At 49.8% G+C, this 26,249-nt stretch overlaps 1 protein-coding gene across 5 annotated transcripts in view, besides 3 other annotated features; it reads left to right on the forward strand.

The window, feature by feature from the left end:
* Nucleotides 3,259-3,508: a silencer, noted in NCBI's record as "silent region_13557". NCBI's record gives its function as "represses an Ori minimal core promoter by ATAC-STARR-seq in GM12878 lymphoblastoid cells {active_cell/tissue: GM12878}" and the evidence as "EXISTENCE:reporter gene assay evidence [ECO:0000049][PMID:35858748]".
* KIAA1671 overlaps nucleotides 3,442-26,249 on the forward strand; it is a 244,733-nt gene continuing 221,925 nt past the window's right edge. For all 5 annotated transcript variants that reach the window (NM_001386933.1, NM_001386932.1, XM_047441556.1 and 2 more), the window contains exon 1: nucleotides 3,442-3,498. The gene's annotated coding sequence lies outside the window, so the exon portion shown is untranslated. The remainder of the gene's footprint in view (nucleotides 3,499-26,249) is intronic.
* Nucleotides 9,114-9,613: an enhancer, noted in NCBI's record as "H3K27ac hESC enhancer chr22:25354355-25354854 (GRCh37/hg19 assembly coordinates)". NCBI's record gives its function as "activates a minimal SCP1, AML or CMV promoter by ChIP-STARR-seq in primed H9 embryonic stem cells {active_cell/tissue: H9 hESC(primed)}" and the evidence as "EXISTENCE:reporter gene assay evidence [ECO:0000049][PMID:30033119]".
* Nucleotides 20,304-20,887: an enhancer, noted in NCBI's record as "H3K27ac-H3K4me1 hESC enhancer chr22:25365545-25366128 (GRCh37/hg19 assembly coordinates)". NCBI's record gives its function as "activates a minimal SCP1, AML or CMV promoter by ChIP-STARR-seq in naive H9 embryonic stem cells {active_cell/tissue: H9 hESC(naive)}" and the evidence as "EXISTENCE:reporter gene assay evidence [ECO:0000049][PMID:30033119]".

Below are 26,249 nucleotides of genomic sequence, written 5' to 3' on the forward strand. Positions count from 1 at the left end.
GAGCCCAGGAGGGCGAGGCTGTGTAGTGAGCCAAGATTGTGCTACTGCACTCCAGCCTGGACGACAGAGCGGGACTGTCTCGAAAAAAATTAAGTAATAATAATAATAGAGCACGTCTTATAGGTTGTTGTGGAGTTTAATGAGATAGCACAGGCAAAATATTTGGCTGAATAAATGATAGCCTTCATTAGTATCATTACCGTGAACCAAACGCTGGATTCCAGCATGTGAAAACATTTATGCAACATTGAACTTCATGAATATTTATTGGGTGACAACTCTGTTTCAGGTACTATGCTAGTCTCTTCCCACAAGGACCTCACAGCCTAGAAAGTGAGTGAAAAGTAATTGGGCAATTACACTACAGTGTGATCAGAACTTTAATGAGTGCGGGCACCAGCCCCAGATTCTGCAACATCTAATCAGTTTTGGTGGTTGGGGATGGCTTCTTAGAGGAACTGATGTAGAAGCTAAGATCTGAGGGACATTTAGTTGTTAACTAGATGATGGGGAGGCAGAGGGCAAAGACTTCCTGGTGGGGGTAATGGCATGGGCATAGGACTAGTGTTGAGGGAAAACATTTCAAAGAACATACCGGCTCTCACACTCAACATGCAGATAAATTTTAGGAAAAACAAAATGGATAAATATGCACCAACGAAAATGCATGAACATGGTCTTTGCAAGGGGTGTGTGGGGTGTAGAGCTATACTGTCCAATATGGTAGCCAGGGCCACGTGTGGATTTTAAAATTTATACTAATTAAAATTAAATAAAATGTAAAACTTAGTTCCTCAGTCTCCCTGACCTCATTTTAAGTGCTCAATAGTCATCTGTGGCTAATGTTGGACAGTGCAGATATAGAACATCTCCATCGTTGCAGAAAGTTCTATTGGACAGAGCTGACACAGGCTAATCAGGACCTTCTGGAGGAGGGGACAAAAGACTGCGAAGAAAGGGTTCTGGGAAAATCCCTGGGAAGCACTGTGCTCTATTCTTAGAAAAAGAAAAGCCAGGGCTGGGAGTGGTGAGGTTGGGGGAGGGAGGGGTGTTGCCTCCGGAAACTGTACTACCTGACACCTCTTTGGTCAGGGTCTACCTCTGGGTATGTGCGAGCTGGCATCTCTCACCTAGGCGGGAAGACACAGGAATGCAGGGGGAACCAGCTAAGGTGGGGGCTGACCAGGAAGTCCTGCCCCTTCTGGGTCCAGGTTCAGGAGGACTCTGGGAGTTGTAGTTCAGCACCTCTGGAATCCCCTTAAAGCTTGACAGGGATAGAAGAGCTGACACCCGGTCTGGGCTGGGCATCTCTTGGGGCAGAGAGTAGGGTTGATGGTCAGGGCTGGGGACGTGTCTGGGTTTGAGTCTCCATGGGGGGTGGCAGGAGGAGGACTATCTTGTCCCCTCCCATCCTTATGTTCTGGAATGGAGAGGCGATGCCAAGGTGGAAGCCTGCATTGGCTGGGGAGCTGAGAAACATGGAACATTCCATTGAACAGAACCCCCAGCCTACGCATTCTGGTTCATGGAGATTTGCCCAGGAGAGACAGGAAGTTCCCATAAGGTTAGGGAGGAGGGGCAGCAGATGGCATGTCATCAGCTGTTGGTCATTCATGCACTCAGCATACATTCTTTGAGCACCTATTGTGTGCCAAGCCCTGTTCTAGGCACTGGGAATCGGAGGTGAAAGACAGACAGAAGTCCCTTCCTCCAGGAGGTCTAGAGAGAAGAGCAGACAATCAACGATTTTCCTTTGCTGGTATAACATACACGTCATGTAAAGGCCTGACTTACGTGGATTTTGAAGGATTTTAAGTTTCAACCCAGCCGTTCCTGGTCTCCTACTCACAGACTTCTCTCTGGAAGTGGTAGTTGTCTGTAAAAGCAACTGGGTTTGATCCTTTTGATGACTGTACTCAAGATACCCAGATGATAAGGAGAATGTCTTGAGACATGAGACCTCATGGGACCTCTGCCCCCCAATTCCTGGGTTCCAGCACTGTACACAAGTCAGTTGGGGGTTCTCGGGCTGCTGTTTGGTAAACAGGGTTTACCCTGCCTGGGTCTGATGGTGATGATCAGACCTTCAAAAGGGTTGCAGTGCAAACGGTGTGGAGAACAGGAGCTACCCTTGTTTCTTACACACACCCAACAATTTAAGAGCAAAATGAGGCAAGAAGTCTCCCCACCAATCCTCCTGAAGCCACACAATGTGATGTCTTTTTCTTTTTTTTTTTTTTGAGATGGAGTCTTGCTCTGTCGTCCAGGCTGGAGTGCAGTGGCGCGCTCTTGGCTCACTGCAATCTCCACCTCCCGGGTTCAAGCCATTCTCCTGCCTTAGCCTCCCGAGTAGCTGGGATCACAGGCATCCGCCACCACGCCCAGCTAATTTTTGTAATTTTTAGTAGTGACGAGGTTTCACCACGTTGGCCAGGCTGGTCTCAAACTCATGACCTCAGGTGATCCACCCGCCTCGGCCTCCCAAAATGCTGGGATTACAAGCCACCGTGCGCAGCCTGTGATGTCCTTTTCTTTCTCTTTTTTTATTGAGGTCTATCTTGCTTATAATAAAGGCACATTGATTTTAGGTCCTCCAGTTATTCATGCTCTGTACATTTCCCATAGGAGCACATGTCACAGATTCAATTTGATATACTCGTGAAATTATTTGTTTGAATATCTGTAAGCTGCACAACAGCCTGGATTTTGCCAGCTGCCCACCACTGGGTTCTCCAGCACCCAGCATGCAATAGGTGCTTAATAAAGATCTGCTGAATGAAATGAGTAACGGATAACAGAACAGGTATTTTCTCTTTCAGAGGCGACTTCCTACGATTCTCTCAACTTGTCCACAAGTTCCTGTACCCATTACCCCACAACTCACACCCACAACATAATGGCAGGAGGATGCGCACACAGTAGGCGCTCCAGCGAACTCTCAGGTGCAGTGCCCTTGCTTGGCGCGAGGAGGCGCCAGCACCGCGCACAGACCTTGCCCGCCCCCGGGCCGGCACCAGCAGCCCAGGCAAGTCAGTGGGCCCACATTTATGGAGCGCCTCCTGAAATCCTGGGTTGCATTAGGCTCTCGGGGTCGCCGGCTGGGCAGCGGGTCGGTGCCGGTGGCGGGGGATCCTGGCTGGTGACTGGGGAACATCCAGGGAACGCGGGAGGGTACCCGGAGCAAAGTTCCCAATTGGACAGAGCGGGGTCGGGCCTCGAGGGGCGGGAGCGCTTCCGGCAGGGGTGTCCAAGCGAGTCGTGACCTCTGACCCGCCGGAGAGGTCCCAGGCCCAGGCGCCACTGCGGACTCGGGTCCTGCCTGCTCTGCTCCCCTCCGCGCAGGCGCGGCCGGCGGCAGTTCCCATGGTGACGGGGGCGCGTCCCCGCTCGAGGCCCCGCCCCCAGCAGGCTAGGCTGCGCGGGGCTGCGGGCTCCCAGGGCAGGTGCCGCGGGCTGCGGGCAGGTGGCGGCGCGGCGCGGGCTGGCGGTGGCTCCACGGTAGGTTGCGCAGCGGCTGCGGGCAGTGGGGGCCGGCTGGCCGCCTCCTGTCCCCGGCCGACGAGGTAGCTGGGGGTGACGGCGGCTGGCGAGGGCCGCCAAGTTTCTGCCCGGCCGAGGCCCCGGGAGAAAAGTTGGCAAAGTTGGCCGGGGAAGAGGCGGGGAGCCGGAGGATTTCCCCAGACTCCGGGTCTGCAGGGAGGGAGGATCCCGGTTTGGGAGCCGGGGAATCCGTCTCCCGAGACTTGAGAGTGGATCCCGCGGGAAGATCCCGCACAGGGCAACCAATGGATCACGTGCCACCTGGTTGGCGACTTGGGAGTCGATCCCTGGAGGGGATCGGGCGCTGGAGGCCTGGGGTCCCACTGGATCCCCAGTCAGGGGTGACGGCGAAGGGTGATTCGAGACTGGGAGCGAGAGGATCAATCTCCTCCCATGCCAGCCTGAGCCTTGGGAATGGATTCAGAGAGATCCCGTGGCTAGGAGCTGAGGGATCGCTGGAGATCTGGGTTACTCAGCCTGGAGCTGCTAGGGTCTGGACATTTGTGCGGGTTGGAGGCCCCGGAGGTGGAAGTGGGAAGCAAGGGCGGCGAGCGAGACGGAACCCTGGTCGAGGGGAGCCCGGAGGACAGCGCGGTGGTTCGGGGGGCGTGAGAGGGGCGGCGCGCGGGGCCCCTCGGACGCGGAGGCTCCGGACACGTCCTCTCGGCCTGGCCTGCGCCCCCCCTCCGCTCGTCTTCCCAGGGCGGAGGCGCCCTGATGGGATTAAGCCTCAGTCCCCCTGTTACCAGGCAGGCCCGCGTGGTCCCCGCCCCGATGGCGGCGCGGCCCACCCGGGCTCACGGGTGGGGCCCTCGGGATGGGAAGCGGCTCGTTGACCCCCACCCGAGCCTGACCTTTTCACACCCTGCTGGCACAAACTCGCCTGGGAGTGGGGACGCCGCGCCTTAAAACCCTGCTGTTTGTCCAGTCCCGGAGCAGGCGTGTGACCTCCACCGCGCGACGCCTAGGTGGCTAGGGCTTCCTGCCTGCCGGGACTGAACTTTCTCTAGCCAGGAGCAGCCATTATCTTTTGGAAGGGAAAGGACTGTACCTGTTGCACAAAGAAAAACACTTTCTTTGCACCTTTTTTGTGACCTTGGGCAAAACACTTAACCTATCTGAATCCAGATGGGGACCCTCTGGGCAAAATGGGCTTGGCCTAGGATGGATCGGAATGAAGGGTATGAAACAGGTAGGGGCTCTATAAGTATCAGTGCCTCCCTCAGTCTATGGCCTCTCCTTTCCCGTGCCCCATCCCCTGTGCTTGCCTTACAGTATCTAAAGATTCCAGAAACCCTACTTGCTATCTTTTGAAACCGCAGGATTAGAGAGCTATTTAGCTTAACCTTTCTTCCAAATGGGTTAATTGCCCCTCTGATCCCCCCTTGCAGAGAGAAGCTCTGAGGTTTGGCTAATGAGTAACCAAGACATTTGGACAAAGCTTCTCCCTTGGTCTGGCTTTCCCTCTGCTAATCCATCAAGGTTCCTGGACAAACGTGTGCACCCCCAGACTCTGGCGCCTCCTTCCTTCCTGTTGCAGCCAGGGACAGTTCCCGAGGAATTTGTACAGACACAAGCCCAGATCTTGGTGGTTCTGGCAGGGGGATCCTTTTTAAAGGATTTGCATGCTTGACAAGGGTGCAATTACCCAAGAGAAGTGCAGAGTTTCAATGCAGTGTCTGGACATACATTTCAGCTGGGCACATGAACTGGCTGGCTCCATCAACCAGCGTGTATTGAGCACCTATGTCAGGAGCACTGTAGAAATGGTGTGGCCTAGGGCAACTCAGGATTTGTCCTCTTGGAGTTACTTTCCAGCTATGGAGCAGTCGGCTTGCCCTGCAGTCTAGTACTGATTCTTGATGTTGGGGATACAGTTCTCACCCTAGGTTCAGAGGCTGGAAGCTGCCCCTACCCCCACTGGAGGTCCTAGGGGCTGCTTTTTTTCGTTTGTTTTGTTTTGTTTTGTTTTATTTTGTTTTTTGAGATGGAGTCTCGCTCTGCAGCCCAGGCTAGAGTGCAATGGCGCGATCTCGGCTCACTGCGACCTCTGCCTCCCGGGTTCAAGCAATTCTCCGGCCTCAGCCTCCAGAGTGGCTGGGATTACAGATGCCCGCCACTCTGCCCGGCTAATTTTTGTATTTTTAGTAGAGATAGGGTTTCACCATGTTGGCCAGGCTGATCCCAAACTCCTAACCTTAGGTGATCCTCCTGCCTCCGCCTCCCAAAGTGCTAGGATTACAGGCATGAGCCACTGCGCCTGGCCGGGGCTGTTTTTTATTGAAGGCTGACCTTGGCAGGAGAATGAAGGAGCCAGTTGTCTGGCTCTGAGCATTTCTCCTCACCAGGCTACATCTCTGACCAACTCAGAAACAGAGCCTCACAGGGATATTTTATATGTGCATTCATTCATTTATTTATCATTTGTTCCTTCAACAAATATTTCAAGACACTGTGTCAAAGATGAGGCTAGCAGCCACATCCTTAAGGGGATACTTTATGCCCTGAAAGTCTTTGTGAACATATGCATTTGTCTGGAAGGGGAGAACTATGATCATAGGAGGAGGGGCTGATGCCTTTGGCTATAAGGAGGGATGCGGGTCAGAGAGTTTAGTTTTCTCGACAGCCAGTGGGAAGAGGTTGGTGTTATGGGCTGCAGAAATGGAATAGCTTGTGCAGAAGCCTGGAGGTAGGTGAGTGCCTAGGGTGTTGACTGGGGCCAGGCCAGCCATGCTTAGTGGTTTGGACTTTATTCCTGGAGCGTGGGGCGCTGTGGATCACAGTGGAAGGGTCTCTGCAGGTGAGGGGCAGGGTCAGATGTGTGTTTTGGGAAGCTTGCCCTGGCTGGTGTGGGGAGGCTGGATGATCGGAGGGTCATGCCAGGAGGCTGGGGGCCAGTAAGCAGGCTGCTAGAAAAATCCAGGTGAGAGGCCAGGCGCGGTGGCTCACGCCTGTAATCCCAGCACTTTGGGAGGCCAAGGCAGGACGATCACGAGGTCAGGAGATCGAGACCATCCTGGCTAACATGGTGAAACCCCATCTCTACTAAAAATACAAAAAAATTAGCCAGGCATGGGGCAGGTGCCTGTTCTCCTGGCTACTTGGGAGGCTGAGGCAGGAGAATGGCATGAACCGGGGAGGCGGAGCTTGCAGTGAAGCAAGATCATGCCACTGCACTCCAGCCTGGGCGACAGAGTGAGACTCCGTCTCAAAAAAAAAAAAAAAAAAGAAAAGAAAAAAGAAAAATCCTGGTGAGAGACCGCGGTGCGCGGTGGACTGGACGTAGAGACCAATGGTGTTGGAGGGGTGTTCACTGACAACTTTGACATTGATCAGTGTTACATTTAGAGAGCCACTCACTTTGAAGATCCCTTCCTCAAGGTGGGTGTAACAGTCTACCTGGGGTAAGGAAACCCCTCAGAGGGAGTGGTATCAGTACTGAATTCAGTTTAGCAAACCTGCTTTAGAACCCTGTGCCTGTTCAGGGGTAGGTATAAAACATGCCAGTCCTCAAGGACTTCCTGTGGGGAGACATGGGGCACATTATTCCCATTTCACTGATGCAGGCCTCTGTGGCATTGTGAGGCGTTTGCCAGGCAGCAGTGGCAAAGCAGGAATTTGAACTCCCTTCCAACTTGCAACTAGTGAATATTTGGGTTCAGGTTAAGCCGTAGAGAAGCAACAGAGGAAGGTGGGTTTCAGTTGGGTGTGGAAGGGATAAATTGAAGGAGCCTTCCCGGAGGAGGCAGATAGAAGGGAGGGAGCCAGCCAGCCGGGCGTGGTGGCTCACGCCTGTAATCCCAGCACTTTGAGAGGCCGAGGCGGATGGATCACGAGATCAGGAGATCGAGACCATCCTGGCTAACACGGTGAAACCCCGTGTCTACTAAAAATACGAAAACAAAAAATTAGCCGGGCGTGGTGGCGGGTGCCTGTAGTCCCAGCTACCTGGGAGGCTGAGGCAGGAGAATGGCGTGAACTGGCGAGGCGGAGCTTACAGTGAGCCGAGATAGTGCCACTGCACTCCAGCCTGGGCGAGAGAGCGAGACTCTGTCTCAAAAAAAAAAAAAAAAAGAAGGGAGGGAGGGAATCAGCCAGAGATAGTCCAGGGCAAACCCTGGCCCTGCCTGCTCCTGGCTGTGGCCTTGGGCATGGTTATGGTTTTGAGACTCGACTTCCCTATCTGTAAAAAGGGCTCATGATAGGATACTCCCATTCTCAAAAGGTTCTTATGTGAGTTTACTGAAGCAGTGTATGGACAGTGCTAGGCCCCGTGTCTATGCTCTGTAAGGGGTGGTATGATTATTATCACTATAGCCTGTCATCAGGATAAGTTCCAGGTGGGTGGTGCTTTGCTCAACCTGGTGTGTGCCTGTGTGTGTTGGGGGGAGAGAGGGAGTGACCCACAGGTGATACTTGAGTCTTAAAGGATGAGTAGGAGGGAGGGCTGGGACATTCCAGGCAGAAGCAACAGCACTGGCAAAGGCATAGATCGCCTGGAGAACTGCATGCCAACTGATATACCCAGAATTCAGGATGTGCTGAATGAATAAAAGTTAGACCATGGGCAGCAAAAATTCCTTTTATACCCCAGACACTCCCTGAATTTCTAAACCTGAAGGCTTTGGCAGGTTTGGGACAGAGAGGAGGGCAGGAGCATCCCTGTCCAGGAGTTCACTCTCCTTCTTCCACTCACCCATCCAGATTATAGGAGTGTGAACCTAGATAAGCCATGTCCCCCCGGGACCTCAGTTTCTTCCTCTGTAAAATGGGAGGACTGGGGAGAATGTAGGTAAAGCACATAGTGCATCAGAGCTGCGCTGTTATGCCAGAATCTGGGCTAAGCTCTTTTGTTCCTTTTTTTTTTTTTTTTTTTTTTTGAGACGGAGTTTTGCTCTTATTGCCCATGCTGGAGTGCAATGGCAGGATCTCGGCTTACTGCAGCCTCCACCTCCTGGGTTCAAGTGATTCTCCTATCTCAGCCTCCCGAGTAGCTGGGATTACAGGCATGTGCCACCACGCCTGGCTAATTTTGTTATTTTTATTAGAGACAGGGTTTCTCCATGTTGGTCAGGCTGGTCTCGAACTCTCGACCTCATGTGATCCACCCACCTCGGCCTCCCAAAGTGCTGGGATTACAGGCACCCGGCCTTTTTTTTTTTTTTTTTTTTTAATATTTTACAACAAACCCAGGTGGTGCCTGTTTTTGAGACCCTCGACTTTACAGTTCATGAAACTGAGGCTTCAAGAGGTTATTGATGTGCTGCGAGGTCACGCAGCGGGAAAGTGGAAGAGCTGGGATTTGAACCCAAAGCTGTCTGCCTCAAAGCCATGCCCTTCCCACTTGCATGGCTCCCAACACAAGGAGGGGTGCTTCTGCCTAGTCTCACTACTCAAACTGCTGCCATTTAAGAAGAAGCTAAGGCCAAGCACAGTGGCTCCTGTCTGTAATCCCAGCGCTTTGGGAGGCTGAGATGGGAGTATTGCTTGAGCCCAGGAGTTTGAGACCAGCCTGGGCAACATAGCGAGACTGTCTCTGAAAAAACAATTTAAGACCGGGTGAGGTGGCTCACGCCTGTAATCTCAGCACTTTGGGAGGCTGAGGTGGGCGGATCACCTGAGGTCAGGAGTTCGAGAGCAGCCTGGCCAACATGGTGAAACCCCGTCTCTACTAAAAATACAAAAATCAGCCAGGCGTGGTGGTGGGGCACCTGTAATCCCAGCTACTCGGGAGGCTGAGGCAGGAGAATCCCTTGAACCCCGGAGGTGGAGGGTGTGGTGACCTGAGATCATGCCATTGCAATCCAGCCTGGGTGACAGAGCAAGACTCTGTCTCTTAAAAAAAAAAAAAAAAAGGTTAAAAATTAGTCTGGCGGTCAGGCACAGTGGCTCACACCTGTAATTCCAGCACTTTCGGAGGCAGAGGCAGGTGAATCACCTGAGGTCAGGAGTTCAAGATTAGCCTAGCCAACATGGAAAAACCCTCTCTCTACTGAAAATACAAAACAAAACAAAAAAATAGCCAGGTATGGTGGCACATGCCTGTAATCCCAGCTACTTGGGAGGCTGAGGCAGCAGACTGCTTGAACCTGGGAGGTGGAGGTTGCCCTGAGCCGAGATTGTGCCACTGCACTCCAGCCTGAACGATAGAACAAAACTTCGTATCAAAAAAAAAAAAAAAAAAGAAAAGAAAAGAAAAAAAATTAGCCTGGCAGTGTGTCAGGCTGTGTCCCATCTAATTCAGAGGCTGAGACAGGAGCATTGCTTGAGCTCAGGAGTTCGATGCTGCAGTGAGCTTTGATTGCACCACTGCACTTTAGCCTGAGACAGAGTGAGTCCTTGTCTCAAATAAATAAATACATAAATACATAAAAATTTAAAAAATTAAAATTAAAAATAAAAGGAAGCTGGTCAAGCACAGTGACTCAAACCTGTAATCTCAGCACTTTGGGAGTCAGAGGTGGGCGGATCACTTGAGGGCAGGAGTTTGAGACCAGCATGGCCAACATGGTGAAACCCCATCTCTACTAAAAAAAAATAAAAATAAAATTAAAAAAAATTAGCTAGGCGTGATGGCAGTTGCCTGTAATCCCAGCTATTCAGGAGGCTGAGGCATGAGAATCACTTGAACCTGGGAGGTGGAGTTTGCAGTGAGCTAGATGGTGCCACTGCACTCCAGCCTGGGCAACAGAGTGAGACTCTGTCTCAAAAAGTAAAAATAAAAGGAAGCTAACAAACAATCGAGGCACATACACACACACACACATATATATATTTTTTCCTTCAATGCAATGAATATTTTATTGAGCATCTTATGTGGGCAAGGCACTCTATTTGTGAAAAATTCAAAAGATCACCTGCCCTTAGGAATCCTCTGGTCAACTGTACGAGAAGAAGGAAGGGGGCAAGGTGAGACAAGTAAGCAAATAATTATGGACTTGACTTCTGGGCAGAAGCTATCACAGCTACATTTGTTAATTGCTCAGTTAAGTGACCTTTGAAATGTTCTATAGCCATGTCTCCATTAAGAATATGAAATACGGCCGGGCGCGGTGGCTCACGCCTGTAATCCCAGCACTTTGGGACCCCGAGGGAGGTGGATCATTTGAGGTCAGGAGTTCGAAACCAGCCTGGCCAACATGGTGAAACCCCGTCTCTACTAAAAATACAAAAATTAGCCAGGTGTGGTGGCGCCTGTGGTCCCAGCTACTCGTGGGGCTGAGGCGGGAGGATCACTTGTACCTGGGAGGGAGATTGCAGTGAATCGAGATCATACCACTGCACTGCAGCCTGGCGACAGAGTGAGACTCCGTCTCAAATAAATAAATAAATAAATAAATAAATAAATAAATAAAATAAAACAAATAATTTCACACGTGAATTAAAAATAGATTTAGGTACTTTCCCATTTCAGAATGTGTTGATTTACCTCATTATTTTTAAAAGCTGAATAAGGCCAGCTGTGGTGGCTCGGGCCTGTAATCCCAGCACTTTAGGCGGCCGGGCGGATCACTTGAGGTCAGGGGTTCAAGACCAGCCTGGTCAACATGGTGAAACCCCATCTCTACTAAAAATACAAAAATTAGCCAGGCATGGTGGCACGCGCCTGTAATCCCAGCTACTCGGGAGGCTGAGGCAGGAGAATTGCTTGAACCCAGGGAGGCGAGTGTTGCAGTGAGCTGAGATCGCGCCACTGCACTTTAGCCTGGGTGACAGGGCAAGACTCCGTCTCAAAAAAAAAAAAAAAAAAGAAAAAACTGAATAATTTCCAGTGCATGAGGTGCTATGAGCTTATTTAACCGATCCCCTGTTGATGGACATTGAGTTGTTTTTCAGGTTCTTTTTTTTTTTTTTTTTTTTTTGCTATGACCGAGTGCCGCAGTTAACATCCCTGTTGACATGTCTTTGCACATTTGTTGTAGTAGGCTGGAGGACAGATTTCCAGGATGTGGAACTTTAGGGAGGAAGGGTGTTTAGAACGTTGAAATGACCTGCCCAATTTCCCAGCAGAGTGGCTATACCTTTCACACTCTTACCACAGCTGTGCGAGAGACAGCCTCTTTGTATATTTCAGAGAGAAGGAACAGTGTTTGGCTGTCTCTTGTCTTTGGCCATAGGACATGGCCTCTGGCCTGAGGGAAGGTGAGAGTTCTTATAAGTGACAACATTTTGTTGCCCTTGGGGTTCTTTTTGTTGTTGTTGTTTTTGTTTTGAGACAGGGTCTTGCTCTTTCATCCAGGCTGGAATGCAGTGGTGCGATCTCAGTTCACTGCAGTCTCAACCTCCTGGGCTCAGGTGGTCCTCCCACCTCAGCCTCCCAAGTAGCTGGGATTACAGGCATGCACCACCACGCCTGGCTAATTTTTGTAGAGACGAGATTTTGCCACATTACCCAGGCTAGTTTCAAACTCCTCAAGCGATCCTGCTGCCTCAGCCTCCCAAAGTGGTAGGATTGCAGATGTGAGCCACCACACCCAGCCTGGCCCTTGGGTTTTAATACAAACTGCTGGAGACTCTGTCTCGGAAGATATTTGCCCATGTACACACGAGTCTTTCTGGACATACGTGGTCCCTGTATTAGTCAAGCTTTTCTGTGATCATACTGTGTAACAAACATCTCCTACATCGCAGTGGCCTTTAACAGCAAACATTTGTTTCATGCTCACGAGTCAGCAGGTAGCTTGGCTGACCTTAGCTAGGCTTCACCAGCAAGGCTGGCCCTAGGCTTTGGATTGGGTTCAGGTCTGGCTCGTGAATCTTCATCCAGATTCACAGGCTGAAGGGTGGCAGCCAGCCAGGGCGTGTTCTTCTGTGGTGGACAACAGAAGCCTCCGTTCTGAACTGAGAAGCTGTCACTTCTGCTCTCATGCTATAGGCTGAAGCAAGTCACGTGGCAAGCCTGACATCAATGAGTTGAAGTCTACTCCTCTCATGGAGGCTGAAGAAACATTTGCTGAGCAATAATAGAACCTGCCACAATTATGTTTCTGATGGGGTAGGACGGGTCCTTGCAGGAGTAGAGGGTCTGCCTGGAGGGCATGGGTAAGAATCATGGCTCATGATTTGTGTGGGACAAGTGGTCGCAGAGCAGAGGCTCTGGGTAAGGAGACCTGGTTTGAGTTTATAACCAGAGACAGGCAGTTCACCAACTGAGTCTCAGTTTCCTTATCTGGAAAATGGGAATAATTTGTCTTCTCTGGCGAGCTGCTGGGAAGCTCAGAGATATTACTGCATAAGAAGGTGCTTTATACCTGTGAGGCGAGATGGGAAATGAGGGATGATTGTCTTGATGATGATTTTTGTGCTGGAGCTGGCTTACAATCCCCTGAGCAGTGACACCTGTAGCCAGTAGAGTGAGAGAACGCAGCGACGCCAAGGTGAGACTGGGAGGGATAGGCCTGGGTTTGAATCCCAGCTGTGCTCGTTGTGGGCCACGTGACTTTTGATCAGCCTCATCACATCCCTCAGCCTCAGTTTGCCTGTCTGTAAAAGGGTCACAGTGTGCTTGTGCCCATTAACGAGGACTGTGAAATGCTTGGCATGAGGTAGATGATAACCAGATGGTGGCTGTGAGGATTGGCATGGAGCTGAGGGGGTCCTGATAGGGGCAGAATGAGGAATTCCGCCACCCATTCCCTTGGGAATATTGCAGGGAACCTGGAGCCGGACTGCTTGGATTCAAATCCCAGCTCCACCGCTTACCAGCTGTGTGGCCTTATGCAAGGCAGTTAACCACTCTGGGCCTCAGTTTTCTCATCTGTAAGCTGGGAGTAATAAGAGAGCTGGCCTCATGAGGTTGACAAGCATTAAATGTGTTAACACATATGGCACTTGCTAATGAATTTACATGAGCCTTAGCTAGTATCGTTAGGATTACTAGTATTATTATTAGTCTACGGAGGCCCAGAGAGGTTGCTTCCCTTCCTGGGAGCCACCAGGGCCTTGGGGAAAAGAATGATGAGAAGCAGATGCTTTTTGGGGCCCTGCATCTGAGCCGGTGCGCTTTCCCCCTTCTGCTGTAGCTGATACGGGTCAGTCCAGAGCAGGCCTTTGAGGATGGCCAAAGTGCCTTTACCAGCCACACAGCCCTCCTGAGTCCTGAAGCAGCCCTGACCCAGCCAGAAAAGAGTCACGGGGAGCTCTGATCTAAGAAGTATTCACATGGCGCCACTATGAATGCACTCAGCAGGCTTCTGGGAGCCCAGGTTTATGAGTATCCGCAGGGGTCACTGAGCTAGCTGCACGGTTAGAGGCCACTCACTCTCTCCTTCAGTTGGGCATCTCTCCATAAAAATGTGTCATGCATTGGGAGGCCGAGGCGGGCGGATCACCTGAGGTCAGGAGTTCGAGACCAGCCTGCCCAACATGGTGAAACCCCATCTCTACTAAACATACAAAAATTAGCCGGGCTTTGTGGCGGACACCTGTAATTCCAGCTACTTGGGAGGCTGAGGCAGGAGAATCACTTGAACCTGGGAGGCGGCTCTTGCAGTGAGCCAAGATCACGCCACTGCACTCCAGCCTGGGCAACAAGAGTGAAACTCCATCTCAAAAAAAAAAAAAAAAAAAAAAAAGTATCCTGTATTGATCTCATGCCAAGTCTGGGGAGAATGAGAATCTGCTGGGTGTCACGGGTGGGTTTCCAAAGTAAGCTGGGTGGGGAGGGAGCATCTGGGGTTGCTTCCTGTGTGACCCTGGGCAGCTGGCTCCACTTCTCTTAGCATTTCCTGTCTGCACATTGTTCAGATGGGCCACTGTGTCATTGGTGGTGAGAAACGGCAGCCCTTGACCTGTGCGCTGGCTTCTGCCTAGACTCTTTGCCTTTAGAAGTTTTGCAGGAGATAGGCCGGGTGCGGTGGCTCACACCTGTAATCCCAGCACTTTGGGAGGATGAGGCGGGCAGATCACGAGGTCAGGAGATCAAGACCATCCTGGCTAACATGGTGAAACCCCGTCTCTACTAAAAATACAAAAAATTAGCCGGGCGTGGTGGCAGGTGCCTGTATTCCCAGCTACTCAGGAGGCTGAGGCAGGAGAATGGTGTGAACCTGGGAGGCGGAGCTTGCAGTGAGCCAAGATCACGCCACTGCACTCCAGCCTGGGTGACAGAGCGAGATTCCATCTCAAAAAAAAAAAAAAAAAGTTTGCAGGAGATAACTGAGGCTGCCACTCATCTTTATGCAGACCCCACTTTTGAGAATAATAATGTTATCTGTAGTAAAACAAAAATAGGGCTGGACACGGTGGCTCACATCTGTAATCCCAGCACTTTGGGAGGCCAAGGCAGGCGGATCACTTGAGGTCAGGATTTTGAGACCAGCCTGGCCAACGTGGCAAAACCCTATCTCTACTAAAAATAGAAAAATTAGCTAGGCATGGTGGTGCATGCCTATAGTCCTAGCTACTTGGGAGGCTGAGGCAGGAGAATTGCTTGAACCTGGGAGGCAGAGGTTGCAGTGAGCCAAGATTGTGCTATTGTACTACAGCCTGGGAGACAGAGGGAGACTCTGTCTCAACAAAAAAACAAAAAACAAACCCCACAAAAAACAAAAATAACAAGTGAGTATTAACTCTGTCCTAGGCTCTGTGCTCATCATTTTCCTATGTACTTTTTTTTTTATTTGTTATTTTTGGTATTGTTCTGTCACCCAGGCTGGGGTCCAGTGGCGCTATCACAGCTCACTGCAACTTCCATTTCCCAGGCTCAAGTGATTCTCTCTCCTCAGCCTTCTGAGTAGCTGGGACCAAAGGAATGCGCCACCATGTCCAGCTAATTAAAAAATTTTTTTGTAGAGACAGGATCTTGGTATGTTGCCCTGGCTAGTCTTGAACTCCTAGTCTCAAGTGATTCTTCCGCCTCAGCCTCCCAAAGTGCTGGGATTAAAGGTCTGAGCCACCATGCCCTACCCCTATACATTGTTGTATTTGATTCTTGTGACTCCATTTTACAGGTGAGGAAACTGAGTTTTGGAGAAGGAGTCACTTGCCCAGGACCATACTACTGGGAATGGGGAATGTGGATCCATGTAGCCTGACTCCAGCCACCATGCTCTGAATCACTCCTGTTGGTGCCCTTCTGGTGGTGAAGCAGGATGGGCAGAGCCGAAAAATCCTAGTGTTAGATCCTGTTCCCACATGTTGATGCTGTGTGGCTTTGCACGAGTGATTTCACCTCCCTGAGCCTCAGTTCTTCTGCAGAAAGAAGATGACAAAATTTCTTCCATGAGGTCATTGTAAGATTAGATACAGCAACCATTTATAAAGTCTCTGGCACATAGTAGGCTCTTAAAAAAAAAAAAAAAAAGGGAGACCTCGGCTGGGGACGGTGGCTCACACCTGTAATGTGTGTGAGCACATTGCAAGGCTGAGACAGACAGATCACCTGAGGTCAGGAATTCGAGACCAGCCTGGCCAATGTGGTGAAACCCTGTCTCTACTAAAAATACAAAAATTAGCCAGGCATGGTGGCGTACACTTGTAATACCAGCTACTCGGGAGGTTGAAGCGAGAAAATCGCTTGAACCCGGGAGGCTGAGGTTGCAGTGAACTGAGATCACGCCAGTGCACGCCAGCCTGGGTGACAAGAATGAAACTCCGTTTAAAAAAAAAAAACGGGAGACCTCCCCCATAAAAAGATGAGCTTAGACCAGGCGCAGTAGCTCACACCTGTAATCCCAGCACTTTGGGAGGCCAAGGCAGACAGATCACGAGGTCAGGAGTTCAAGACCAGCCTGGCCAACATGGTGAAACCCTGTCTTTGCTAAAAATACAAAAAAATTAGCCGGGCATGGTGGCGACACCTGTAATCCCAGCTACTCGGGAGGCTGAGGCGGGAGAATCGCTTGAACCCGCGAGGTGGAGGTTGCAGTGAGCCAAGATTGTGCCATTGCACTCCAGCTTGGGCAACAAGAGTGAAACTCCATCTCAAAAAAAAAAAAAAAAAAAAAGAAAAGGATGAGCTTAAGGTTTTAAAAAATGTGTGTAAGTTGTCCCAAAGAATTATTTTATAAATCATAATGTAAATCTTCCTTGCTTGTTGTAGTAGCAGAAATAGCAACAATGGCAGTAATAAAAAGTAAAAACTAACACTGATTCACTGCTTCTTATAGGCCAGTTCCTCTGACATAGATTTTGTGTGTTTATAGGATCCTCATAACAACCTATGAAGAAAAATGGTAGTGTTATTCCCATTTTATAGATGAGGAAACTGGGGCTCCAAGAGGTGAAACGCCTTGCTTCGCAGCTAGTGGCAGGCAGGGAGGACTAGAGCTTTGTTATTAATACACGAGAATCTCATTCCAGTGTAATACCCCTGCCTGTTGGAGAAACAGCTGTATTTTCACAGGCCCCAGGTCAGGGCTGAGGCTCCCAGCTGACTTTGTGTTGATAGTTCTTTCCTTTTTGTTTTGCTTCCTCAGGGAGGAAAGCCTCTTCTGGGGAGTCCTGTTTACCGATGGCTTAGCGAGCACTGCCGAGGGAAGGAAATTTTGGGTCTGTAGGGCCTCCCTGCAGAAGGGGAGCCCAGCGGGTGCATTGGGTGCACCGAGGTCACTGTACACTCACACCACCTGGCCTGTCTGGACTTGAAGCCTGGGTTTTGGCAGGCACTGCCCGCTCAGCCTTGCCCAGTGCCCTGGGCAGGGCTGGGGAGTGGCTTGGTTAGGGAACTCCCAGTGCCCTTTGGCCTGGGAAGCTGCCCAAGTTTGTCTTTCCCTTTCATTTTAGGCCCCAGCACTGGAAAGTGCTTGTCTTTGTTTCTAGAATGCTTGCTCACCTGCATACCTGGGACTGTGCTTATCAAGTGAAGAGGTTCTAGGCAATGAGAGAGAATATAGAATGTATTAAAATGAGTCCTGGGCTGGGCATGGTGGCTCATGCCTGTAATCTTAGTGCTTTGGGAGGCCGAGGTGGAAGGATTGCTTGAGCCCAGGAGTTTGAGACCAGCCTGGGCAACAGAGTGAGACCCTGTCTCTACAAAAAATTTAAAAAATTAACCAGGCGTGATGGTGCACACACCTGTAGTCTCAACTGCTCGGGAGGCTGAGGCATGAGGATAGCTTGAGCCAGGGAGGTTGAGGCTGCAGTGAGCTGTGATTGTGCCACTGCACTCCAGCCTGGGTGACAGAGCAAGAGCCTGTCACAAATGAATGAACGAATGAATGAATGGGTTCTAGGCCTGAAGTCAGGCCTCCTGAGTTTTAGTCCAGCTTCTGTGCTGTGTGTTCTTGAGTATACCCCCTCCCCTCTCTGGACCTTTTTTTTACAGGAGGACAAGGAACTGGATAGGTAGATTCTAGAGCCTCTTATTTCTGCCATACATTCTGGGAAGAATTAAAACCAGCCTTTTAAAAGACAGGGCCTAGAAAAATCACAATTTGCTGACAGGGCCTACTGTGTGCCAAGTCCCTTGTTAGGGAGGTACTGTTAGGTGCCTTCTTGTCAAATCCTCGGAATGACTCAGGCAGTTGGTATTACCAACCCCCTTTACAGTTGAGGAAACGGAGGCTCAGAAAGATAAAGCCCTCCTCAATGTCATAAGCTTGGGGTAAGAGGCTGCAGAGCCTGTATTTGAACTCAGGTCTTCCTCCTGCAAAGCTCTGACTCCATCAGAAATACCTTCTCTCCCATCGGAAGTTCCAGTGCTGTGTGTCCTTTCTTCTCTTGGGATAGTTGATCATTTTCATCTTTGTTATTTGTTGAGCATCTACTGTTTACCAAGGCCTGCACTGGGCCTTGGGCCTCAGAGCTGCCTGGGGCCTGGCCTCCGCCCTCAAGGAGGACAGAGAAGAGGAGGCAGAGAGCAGCAGGCCTAGGGCTCTGATCCCAGCCTCGGCCCCATTGTCCCCCAGCCTTGAAGCAAAACCGTTTCCCTTGACACACTTAAGACTTGGATGAGGGCCGGGCGCGGTGGCTCACACCTGTAATCCCAGCACTCTGGGAGGCCAAGGTGGGCGGATCATGAGGTCAGGAGATCGAGACCATCCTGGCTAACACGGTGAAACCCTGTCTCTACTAAAAAATACAAAAATTTAGCCGGGCGTGGTGGCGGGTGCCTGTAGTCCCAGCTACTCGGGAGGCTGAGGCAGGAGAATGGCGTGAACCCAGGAGGCGGAGCTTGCAGTGAACCGAGATCATGCCACTGCACTCCAGCCTGGGCGACAGAGTGAGACTCTGTCTCAAAAGAAAAGAAAAAAAGACTTGGATGAGACAGGACGCTTTGGCAACCAGTAGACCACCTTCTTCTTGGAGAGGCGAGGTGCCTGGTTACTGTCAGATTTAACTCGAGAAAGGCAGTGGTAATGCTTCCAAGTCCTGCCTTGATGCAGATGTCTTAATCACAGCCCCTCTGCCTTCCTGTCCTTTAATTCATTAAAAGGTAGGGAAGGGGGGCGGCGGGGCAGGGGAGAAGGCAGCAAAAAGCATGGAGGAATTTTTGGAATGCCCAGAATGCTGGCTGACCTAGCAGAGCAGGTGTGAGCCATCTTCCCTGGCTTTGGTTGGAGTCTGTTGGGCATGCCTGGAGGCTCTCTGGGTGCCATCCAGTTCTTGTCCCTGAGGCCTGAGTCACCCCGGGAAGGTGGCTGTGCTGTGAATCCAGCTGCAGCCTATAGTAGAAGACGCCACCTGGGTCCGGAGCCATGCAGCCCGCAGTCATGTCCTGGCTCTGTTTTCTCCCCAGCCATGGGAATGGTTTCCTGTATCCACCCCAGCATCCACACCCATGGAATGGGGGTGCTGATCTCTGTCTTTCAGCCTGGCTGGGAGCTCTTAGCAGGGTCACACGGTGGACACTGGGACAAATGGAGTGTCCGTGCGATTCTATCTGGGTGGGTGGTGATGTTAAGTAAAGCCCCCACTGTGTGCATGGAGCTGTCTGGAGTACTGAGACATTCCCAGACTTTTATTGATTACATAATCTTATCCTTTGGGGGACCCGCCTGCTTACTTGGCTTCCCCTCCACACCATGCATGTGTTGGGCATGAGATGACTCTCTTTTTATTTTCCAAATTGATAATTTTTATGCTCTTTTTGTCCTTATTATGCAGCAATACATTTTTATTGTTTTATTGTTTTGTTTTGTGTTGTGTTGTTTTGTTTTGTTGAGACAGGGCCTTGCCCTGTCACCCAGGTAGGAGTGCAGTGGTGCAGTCATGGCTCACTGCAGCCTTGACCTCCCAGGCTCAGGCGATTCTCCCACGTCAACCTCCTGAGTAGCTGGGACTACAGGTGTGTGCCACCATGCCGGCTAATTTTTAAAATTTTTTTGCAGAGACAGAATCTCCCATTGTTGCCTAGGTTGGTCTTGAACTCCTGGACTCAAGTGATCTGCCCACCTCAGCCTCCCAAAGTGCTGGCACTACAGGTGTGAGCCACCGTGCCCGGCCTCGTTTTTGTTGTTGAACATTTCAAAATGTAGTTGTCCCTTGGTATACTCAGGGGATTGGTTCCAGATCTCCCTCAGATACCGAAATCTGAGCAAGCTCAAGTCCTGTATATAAAATGGTGTAGTATTTGCATATAACCTACGCATATCTTCTCAAATACTTTAAATCATCTCTAGATTACTTATGATACCTAATCCAATGTAAGTGTTAGGTAAGGAGATGTTACACTGTATTGTTTATGGAATAATGACAAAAAAAAACCTCTGTACATGTTCATTACAGACACAACCATCCATTTTTTAAAAACAATATTTTTCATCCGAGCTTGGTTGAATCCTTGGATGTGAAACCGACAGATACTGAGGGCTGCCTGTACAGATAAATAAAAAGGAGATAAAATCCATAATCCCACATTCTAAAGATAACTGGTGCTAATATTCTGGGCTGTGATTTAGACTTTTCATCACACTCTGCATACATACATATTGATTGAGATTTCAGCTCCGTGTCTTGGGGCACATGTAGAATGTGGGCTTTATACTGAGGCGGCTTATATTCCACCCTGGCTCTGTAACCGCTTGGCTTTGTGACCGTAGGGAGATCACTACCCAGTATGAACTTCAGCTTCTGCTCTGTAAAACTGGGTTGCTATGAGGATTAAATGAGTGAAGGTCTGTGCACTGTTTAGAGAGGGGCCCCTTCTATGGATGCTGTAATTGATAAGTAGTGGATTTAGACAACAGGCTTCAGAGAAGACCCCCTCCGCCAGGCACAGCCGAGGTGGGAACTGCTCAGAACGGGGCTTGGGCCAGGGAGTTTGACTCACACAAAGCACTCTGGGCAAACTCTCAAACCAGTCCTGATCTTTATCACTCCGGGATGCTTCCTGTCCCTGCTGAGGCCTGGGCATTGTCCAAGTTAAAGCCACCGGACAGTCCCAGCAGGCTGGGAGGTGGCCCCTGTAAAATGAGCTCACCAAGAACCCTTCCACCTCCCCCGCTGACTTCAGCAGTGGCTTCTGGAGGACAGGCTCGAGACACCAGGGGAGAAGGACAAGGTCGGCCCACTACCTCCAAGAAGGTCTGAAAGCCATGATGTCACCTGGACACTGCAGGATCCCAGAAGGCCAGAGAGAGGAAAGGGCTGGGGGAGCCATAGGGCAGGGCAGGTCATGGAGCCTGGTTTTCAGAGGGGAGTTTGGGGTTGGAGACATCTGTAGGGAAGTGAAGCTGTGCTGTACTAGTTCTGTGACCTTGAACCAATACATTATACAACCTGGGCCATCCTTGGTTTCCGTCTCTATAAAATGAGGCTAATGGTAGGGCTTACCTAATAGGGTAGATGTGCCTTTATCATGTAAAGGCTCCTAGCACAGCCAGGCACATCGTCAGTGCCTCTTCCTCCTTCTCATCATCATCATCATCTAGTACAGGGGTCCAATCTTTCGGCTTCCCTGGGCCACACTGGAAGAAGAAAAATTGTCTTGGGCCACACATAAAGTACACTAACACTATCAATAGTTGATGAGCTAAAAAAAAAAACAAAACAAAACTCATAACATTTTAAGAAAGTTTATGAATTTGTGTTGGGCTCATTTAAAGCTGTCCTGCAGCCCGAGGGCCATGGTTTAGACAAGCTTGATCTAGTATATTTATAACAGCACCAACAATGCAGACTGAGCCAGACCCTGTGCTAAGCACTTGCTATGCACTATCTCACTCAATCATCGTAATCAACTGTAGCTGCTGTAATTTATTTATTATTTACTTATTTTGAGACAGAGTCTCACTCTTGTTGCCCAGGCTGGAGTGCAATGGTGTGATATTGGCTCACTGTATCCTCTGCCTCCCGGATTCAAGTGATTCTCCTGCTTCAGCCTCCCGAGTAATGGGATTACAGGCACGTGCCACCATGCCCAGCTAATTTTGTATTTTTAGTAGAGACGGGGTTTCACCATGTTGGTCAGGCTGGTCTTGAACTCCTGACCTCAGGTGATCCACCTGCCTTGGCCTCCCAAAGTGCTGGGATTACAGGTGTGAGCCACCACGCCTAGCCAGCTGCTGTCATTGATACTACTATCTAGCTGTCTGATTCCACATGGGAAGTGATCAATGAAGGACAGCCATAGTGGTTATTCCTATTTTTGCTGGTACTACCCAGAGCTGTCCATGTGAGACATAGCTCCCTTGCCAACCGAATATCCACAAATTTGGGCATCTACCCCTTGTGTAGAAGTGAGTCTTCTCCTGGGGCTGTTCTTGAGAAAAGCTCCTTGTTTTTCTTGTTCATGACACCTCAATGCCATGCCAGGTTGCCTTTAGTTTATGATGCTCTGAGCCCTGTTTCTCTGTTTTAGTTTCCCTGAAGGATGGCTGCTAAATCTTGGGGTTATCCCCTGGGGTCCCCCAGTGTGAATGTTGTACCCACAACATGGTACATTCCCAGTGTCTCTCAAATTTGGGGGTGATCCATCTGGCTGCTGTGGGATGTGGTACTGAATTTGCACCCAGAAATTGGTATTTTTTTGGGGGGGTCGTGGATCATGAAGGAAAGAGTTTGGCTTGTAGGTAGAGGGTTGGGGGGTTACCTGGGCTTCCCCTGGGCTGTGGCCTGAGTGCTTCCTCAAACAGGCTGGAATTCTTAACGTGCCACAGTTTCCAGAGAGGTTTCTTTAGCAGTGCTTCCAAAGGGAGCATGAACTTGGGGGTTTCATGTTCCAGGGTGTGTCTAGTGGGAGGGGACTGAGGGAGGGTAGGTGCCTGGAACAGGCTAGGGTCCCAGCTGGTGACTCAGTTTCCCTTCTACCTGGTCAGGGCTTTGAAGTCCAAGATCATGCTAGAGAGAGATGGGAATCTTTAAACATAACTTTCTGTGGTGTTTATTCCTAAAACCATATAGGATCATTGCAGAACATGAAGGAAAAATGGGTAGGTAGGCAGGCAGACCAACATTATGCAAAATGTTATCACCCAGACAGATATATTACAGTGGTTAACAACAACTAAAATATTGATCATAAACATGGTTAATGGTTATTGAGCACTTGCTACATGTTTTATATGGTTTACCTTATTTCACTGCTCAGAAAACAGTGCTCATGAGAGATCTGCATTCAGGACCCTGTGCTCATAAGCATATGGTCAGAACTACCCATTCAGTCTTCTGTCTACCGTATAGCTGCTTTCCATCCATTCTTCCATCCATTCCTCCATTTTGTATTCATCCATCCACCTACCCATTCATCCACTCATGCATGCACGCATGCATGCATCCATCCATCCATCCATATATGCATCCATCCATATATGCATCCATGCATCCATGTGTGTATTCATCTATCATTTCATTCATCTTTCCTTCCATCCACATACCTGTACTTTCTTCCTTCTTTCCATCTACTACCTTCCATTCCATCCACTTATTCTTTATTTCTTTCTTTCCCTCCCTCCTTCCCTCCCTCCCTTCCTTCCTTCCTTCCAGCTCTTTCTTTCATCCATCCATCCATCTCATCTAACAATATTTGTTAAGTACCTACTCTGTGCCAGGCACTGTTCTGGGCACCAAGGATGCAGCAGGGTTCAGTGCCTTCGTAGTCCTGACATTCTAGTGGGGAGAAGCAGGCACAAAAGTCCGTTCATAAACCAGAACTTCAGATAATGATTAAGAGCGATGGTGAAAATAAAAGAAGGTAATGTGGAAGACGGTGTCTGCTTTCGATGGGGTGGCTAGGGGAGGGCTCTGGGAGGAAGTGACCTATGTGCTGAGACCTGAAGGAGACAAAGGGGCCATCTGAAGAGCCCACGGGGAGAGTGTTGTAGGTAGCAGGACCGGCAAGTGCAAAGGCCCCCAGGCAGGAGCAAGCTGGGCATTGTGCTGGAAGACCTGAAGGCACAGGGAGCAAGGGGGAGAGGTTCAGGGGGCCAGGCTAGTGCAGGGCAATGTGGGGTTCATTTTAACTGCAGTTGCCCTTCATGGCAGGACTCGGTTTGGGCTTTTAAAAAACCCTGACTGCTGAAAAGGGAATGGACTTGTGCTCAGGGGCAGAAGTGGAGGCCCGGAGGCCAGTGAGGAAGCTACATCTGTGCAGGTGGGGAGGGTGGTGGCACACAGGAAAGGACAGTCCTCCCCATGACCCGCCCATTCCCTGCTCTCGCTCCTCTCAGTACAGACCCCAAACTGCATATGATGGTTTTTTTTTTTTTTTTTTTTTTTTTTTGAGACGGAGTCTCGCTGTGTTGCCCAGGCTGGAGTGCAATGGCGTGATCTCGGCTCACTGCAACCTCCACCTCCCGGTTCAAGCAATTCTGCCTCAGCCTCCCAAGTAGCTGGGATACAGGCATGTGCCACCATGCCCGGCTAATTTTTTTGTATTTTTAATAGAGACAGGATTGTCTCTACTAGGCCAAGCTGGTCTCTAAGTCCTGACCTCAAGTGACCTGCCTGCCTCGGCCTCCCAAAGTGCTAGGATTACAGGCATGAGCCACCATGCCTGGTTATTGCATATAATTATTTATATATTTGTTTATCTAATAATATCTGTCTCTACTATGGAAATATGAAGCTCCAGGAGGGCAGGGACTTTGCTCCCTGCCATGTCCCAAGTACAGTTTCTGGCACATAGTAGGGACACTTAATAAATATTTGTCAAATGAATGACTAATAAGGTCCTCCCAAAAATCTGGGTGAAAATAATAATGATGCTGAATAATAGTGATGACTGTATATTAATAATAATAGTAGCAAGCCGGTGCTGAATGTGCCGTGTAGACCCGGGCCTGGCTCTGCCCACCCTCTGCCCAGCTGCACCTCCTTTGGTGGTTTGCACAACGGGACTTTCACCAGCTCTGGGAGGCCCTGTCACCTGGCAGGCCCTCAGCAAATGATTGGCTGATTTGCAGGCTCTGCTCCCTTTCAGGAAAGGATTTATCAGCCGGACTTGGGTCTGGGTGGGGCAGGTTTGGGTGAGGCCTCTCAGCTGCGTGGGAGATAGAACTTCTGGGTAAGCTGAGGACTGAAGTTCAGGTTTCCAGCCTGACTTTTCCCAGCCTTGTGACATTGGGCAGGTCTCACCCCCTCCATGAGCTTTAGTGTGTGATGTGATGATGGTGACAGGTACCAATGCTACCGTTTGTTAACCCATTAGGACATGCCAGGTACTGTGTTAGGTCCTTTAGTTCTCATGGTGACACCATGAGGCAGGAACTATTCTTATTTCCAGATGAGGAAAGTGAGGTGGAGAGAGCTTAAGTCATTAGCCCATGGTCAGTCGGCTAGGAGGTGGTGGAGCTGGGATTTGAACCTAGGTAAAGCTAATGCATGAGCTCCGTGTTTAAACTCCAAACTCCAGTCATTCTTGTATCACTTCGGGATTTTCTTGATATGTGTATACCACCTGGGCTGTTTTTCAAACATTTTTCTTGAACTCTTCTGTCTTTTCCAGTACAGCCTTATTGAGATATAATTCACTTATCATCCAGCTCACCTCTTTTTTTTTTTTTTTTTTTTTTTTGAGACGGGTGTCTTGCTCTGTTGCCCAGGCTGGAGTGTAATGGCGTGATCTCGGCTCACTGCAACCTCAACTTTCCGGCTTCAAGCAATTCTCCTGTCTCAGCCTCCCGAGTAGCTGGGACTACAAGTGCACGCCATCCTCGCCTGGCTAATTTTTGTATTTTTAGTAGAGGTGGAGTTTCACCACACTGGTCAGGCTGGTCTCAAACTCCTGACTTCAGGTGATCCATCCGCCTCGGCCTCCCAAAGTGCTGGGATTACAGGCGTGAGCCACCACATCCAGCCCAGCCCAGCTCACCTCTTTAAAGTGCACAGTTCAGTGGTTTTTAGTATATTCATAGATATGTGCAACTCTCAACCATGACTGATTTTGGAACATTTTCATCACCTCCAAAAGGAAACCCCATACCCATTAGTGGTGCCCCTTCACCAGTTTCCTCCTCGGCCTTACACAGCCACTAATCTACTTTCTCTATGGATTTGCCCGTTCTGGACATTTCATGTAAATTAGATCATACAATATGTGACCTTTTGTGACTGGCATATTTAACTTAGCAGAATGTTTTTGAGGTCATTCATGTCATAACAAGTATCAGTGATTCTTTTTTTTTTTTTCAGTTTTTTTTTCAAGACAGCATCCCACTGTGTCACCCAGGCTTGAGTGCAGTGGTGCAATCCTAGCTCACTGCACCTTCGACCTCCTGGGCTCAAGCAAGCCTCCTGCTTCAGCCTCCTAAGTAGCTGGGGTGCAGGTGTGTGCCACCATGCCTGGCTAATTTTTTTGATTTTCAGTAGAGATGGAGTTTCGCTCTGTT

Source organism: Homo sapiens, chromosome 22 (assembly GCF_000001405.40).
Source record: "Homo sapiens chromosome 22, GRCh38.p14 Primary Assembly".
Lineage (NCBI taxonomy): Eukaryota > Metazoa > Chordata > Mammalia > Primates > Hominidae > Homo > Homo sapiens.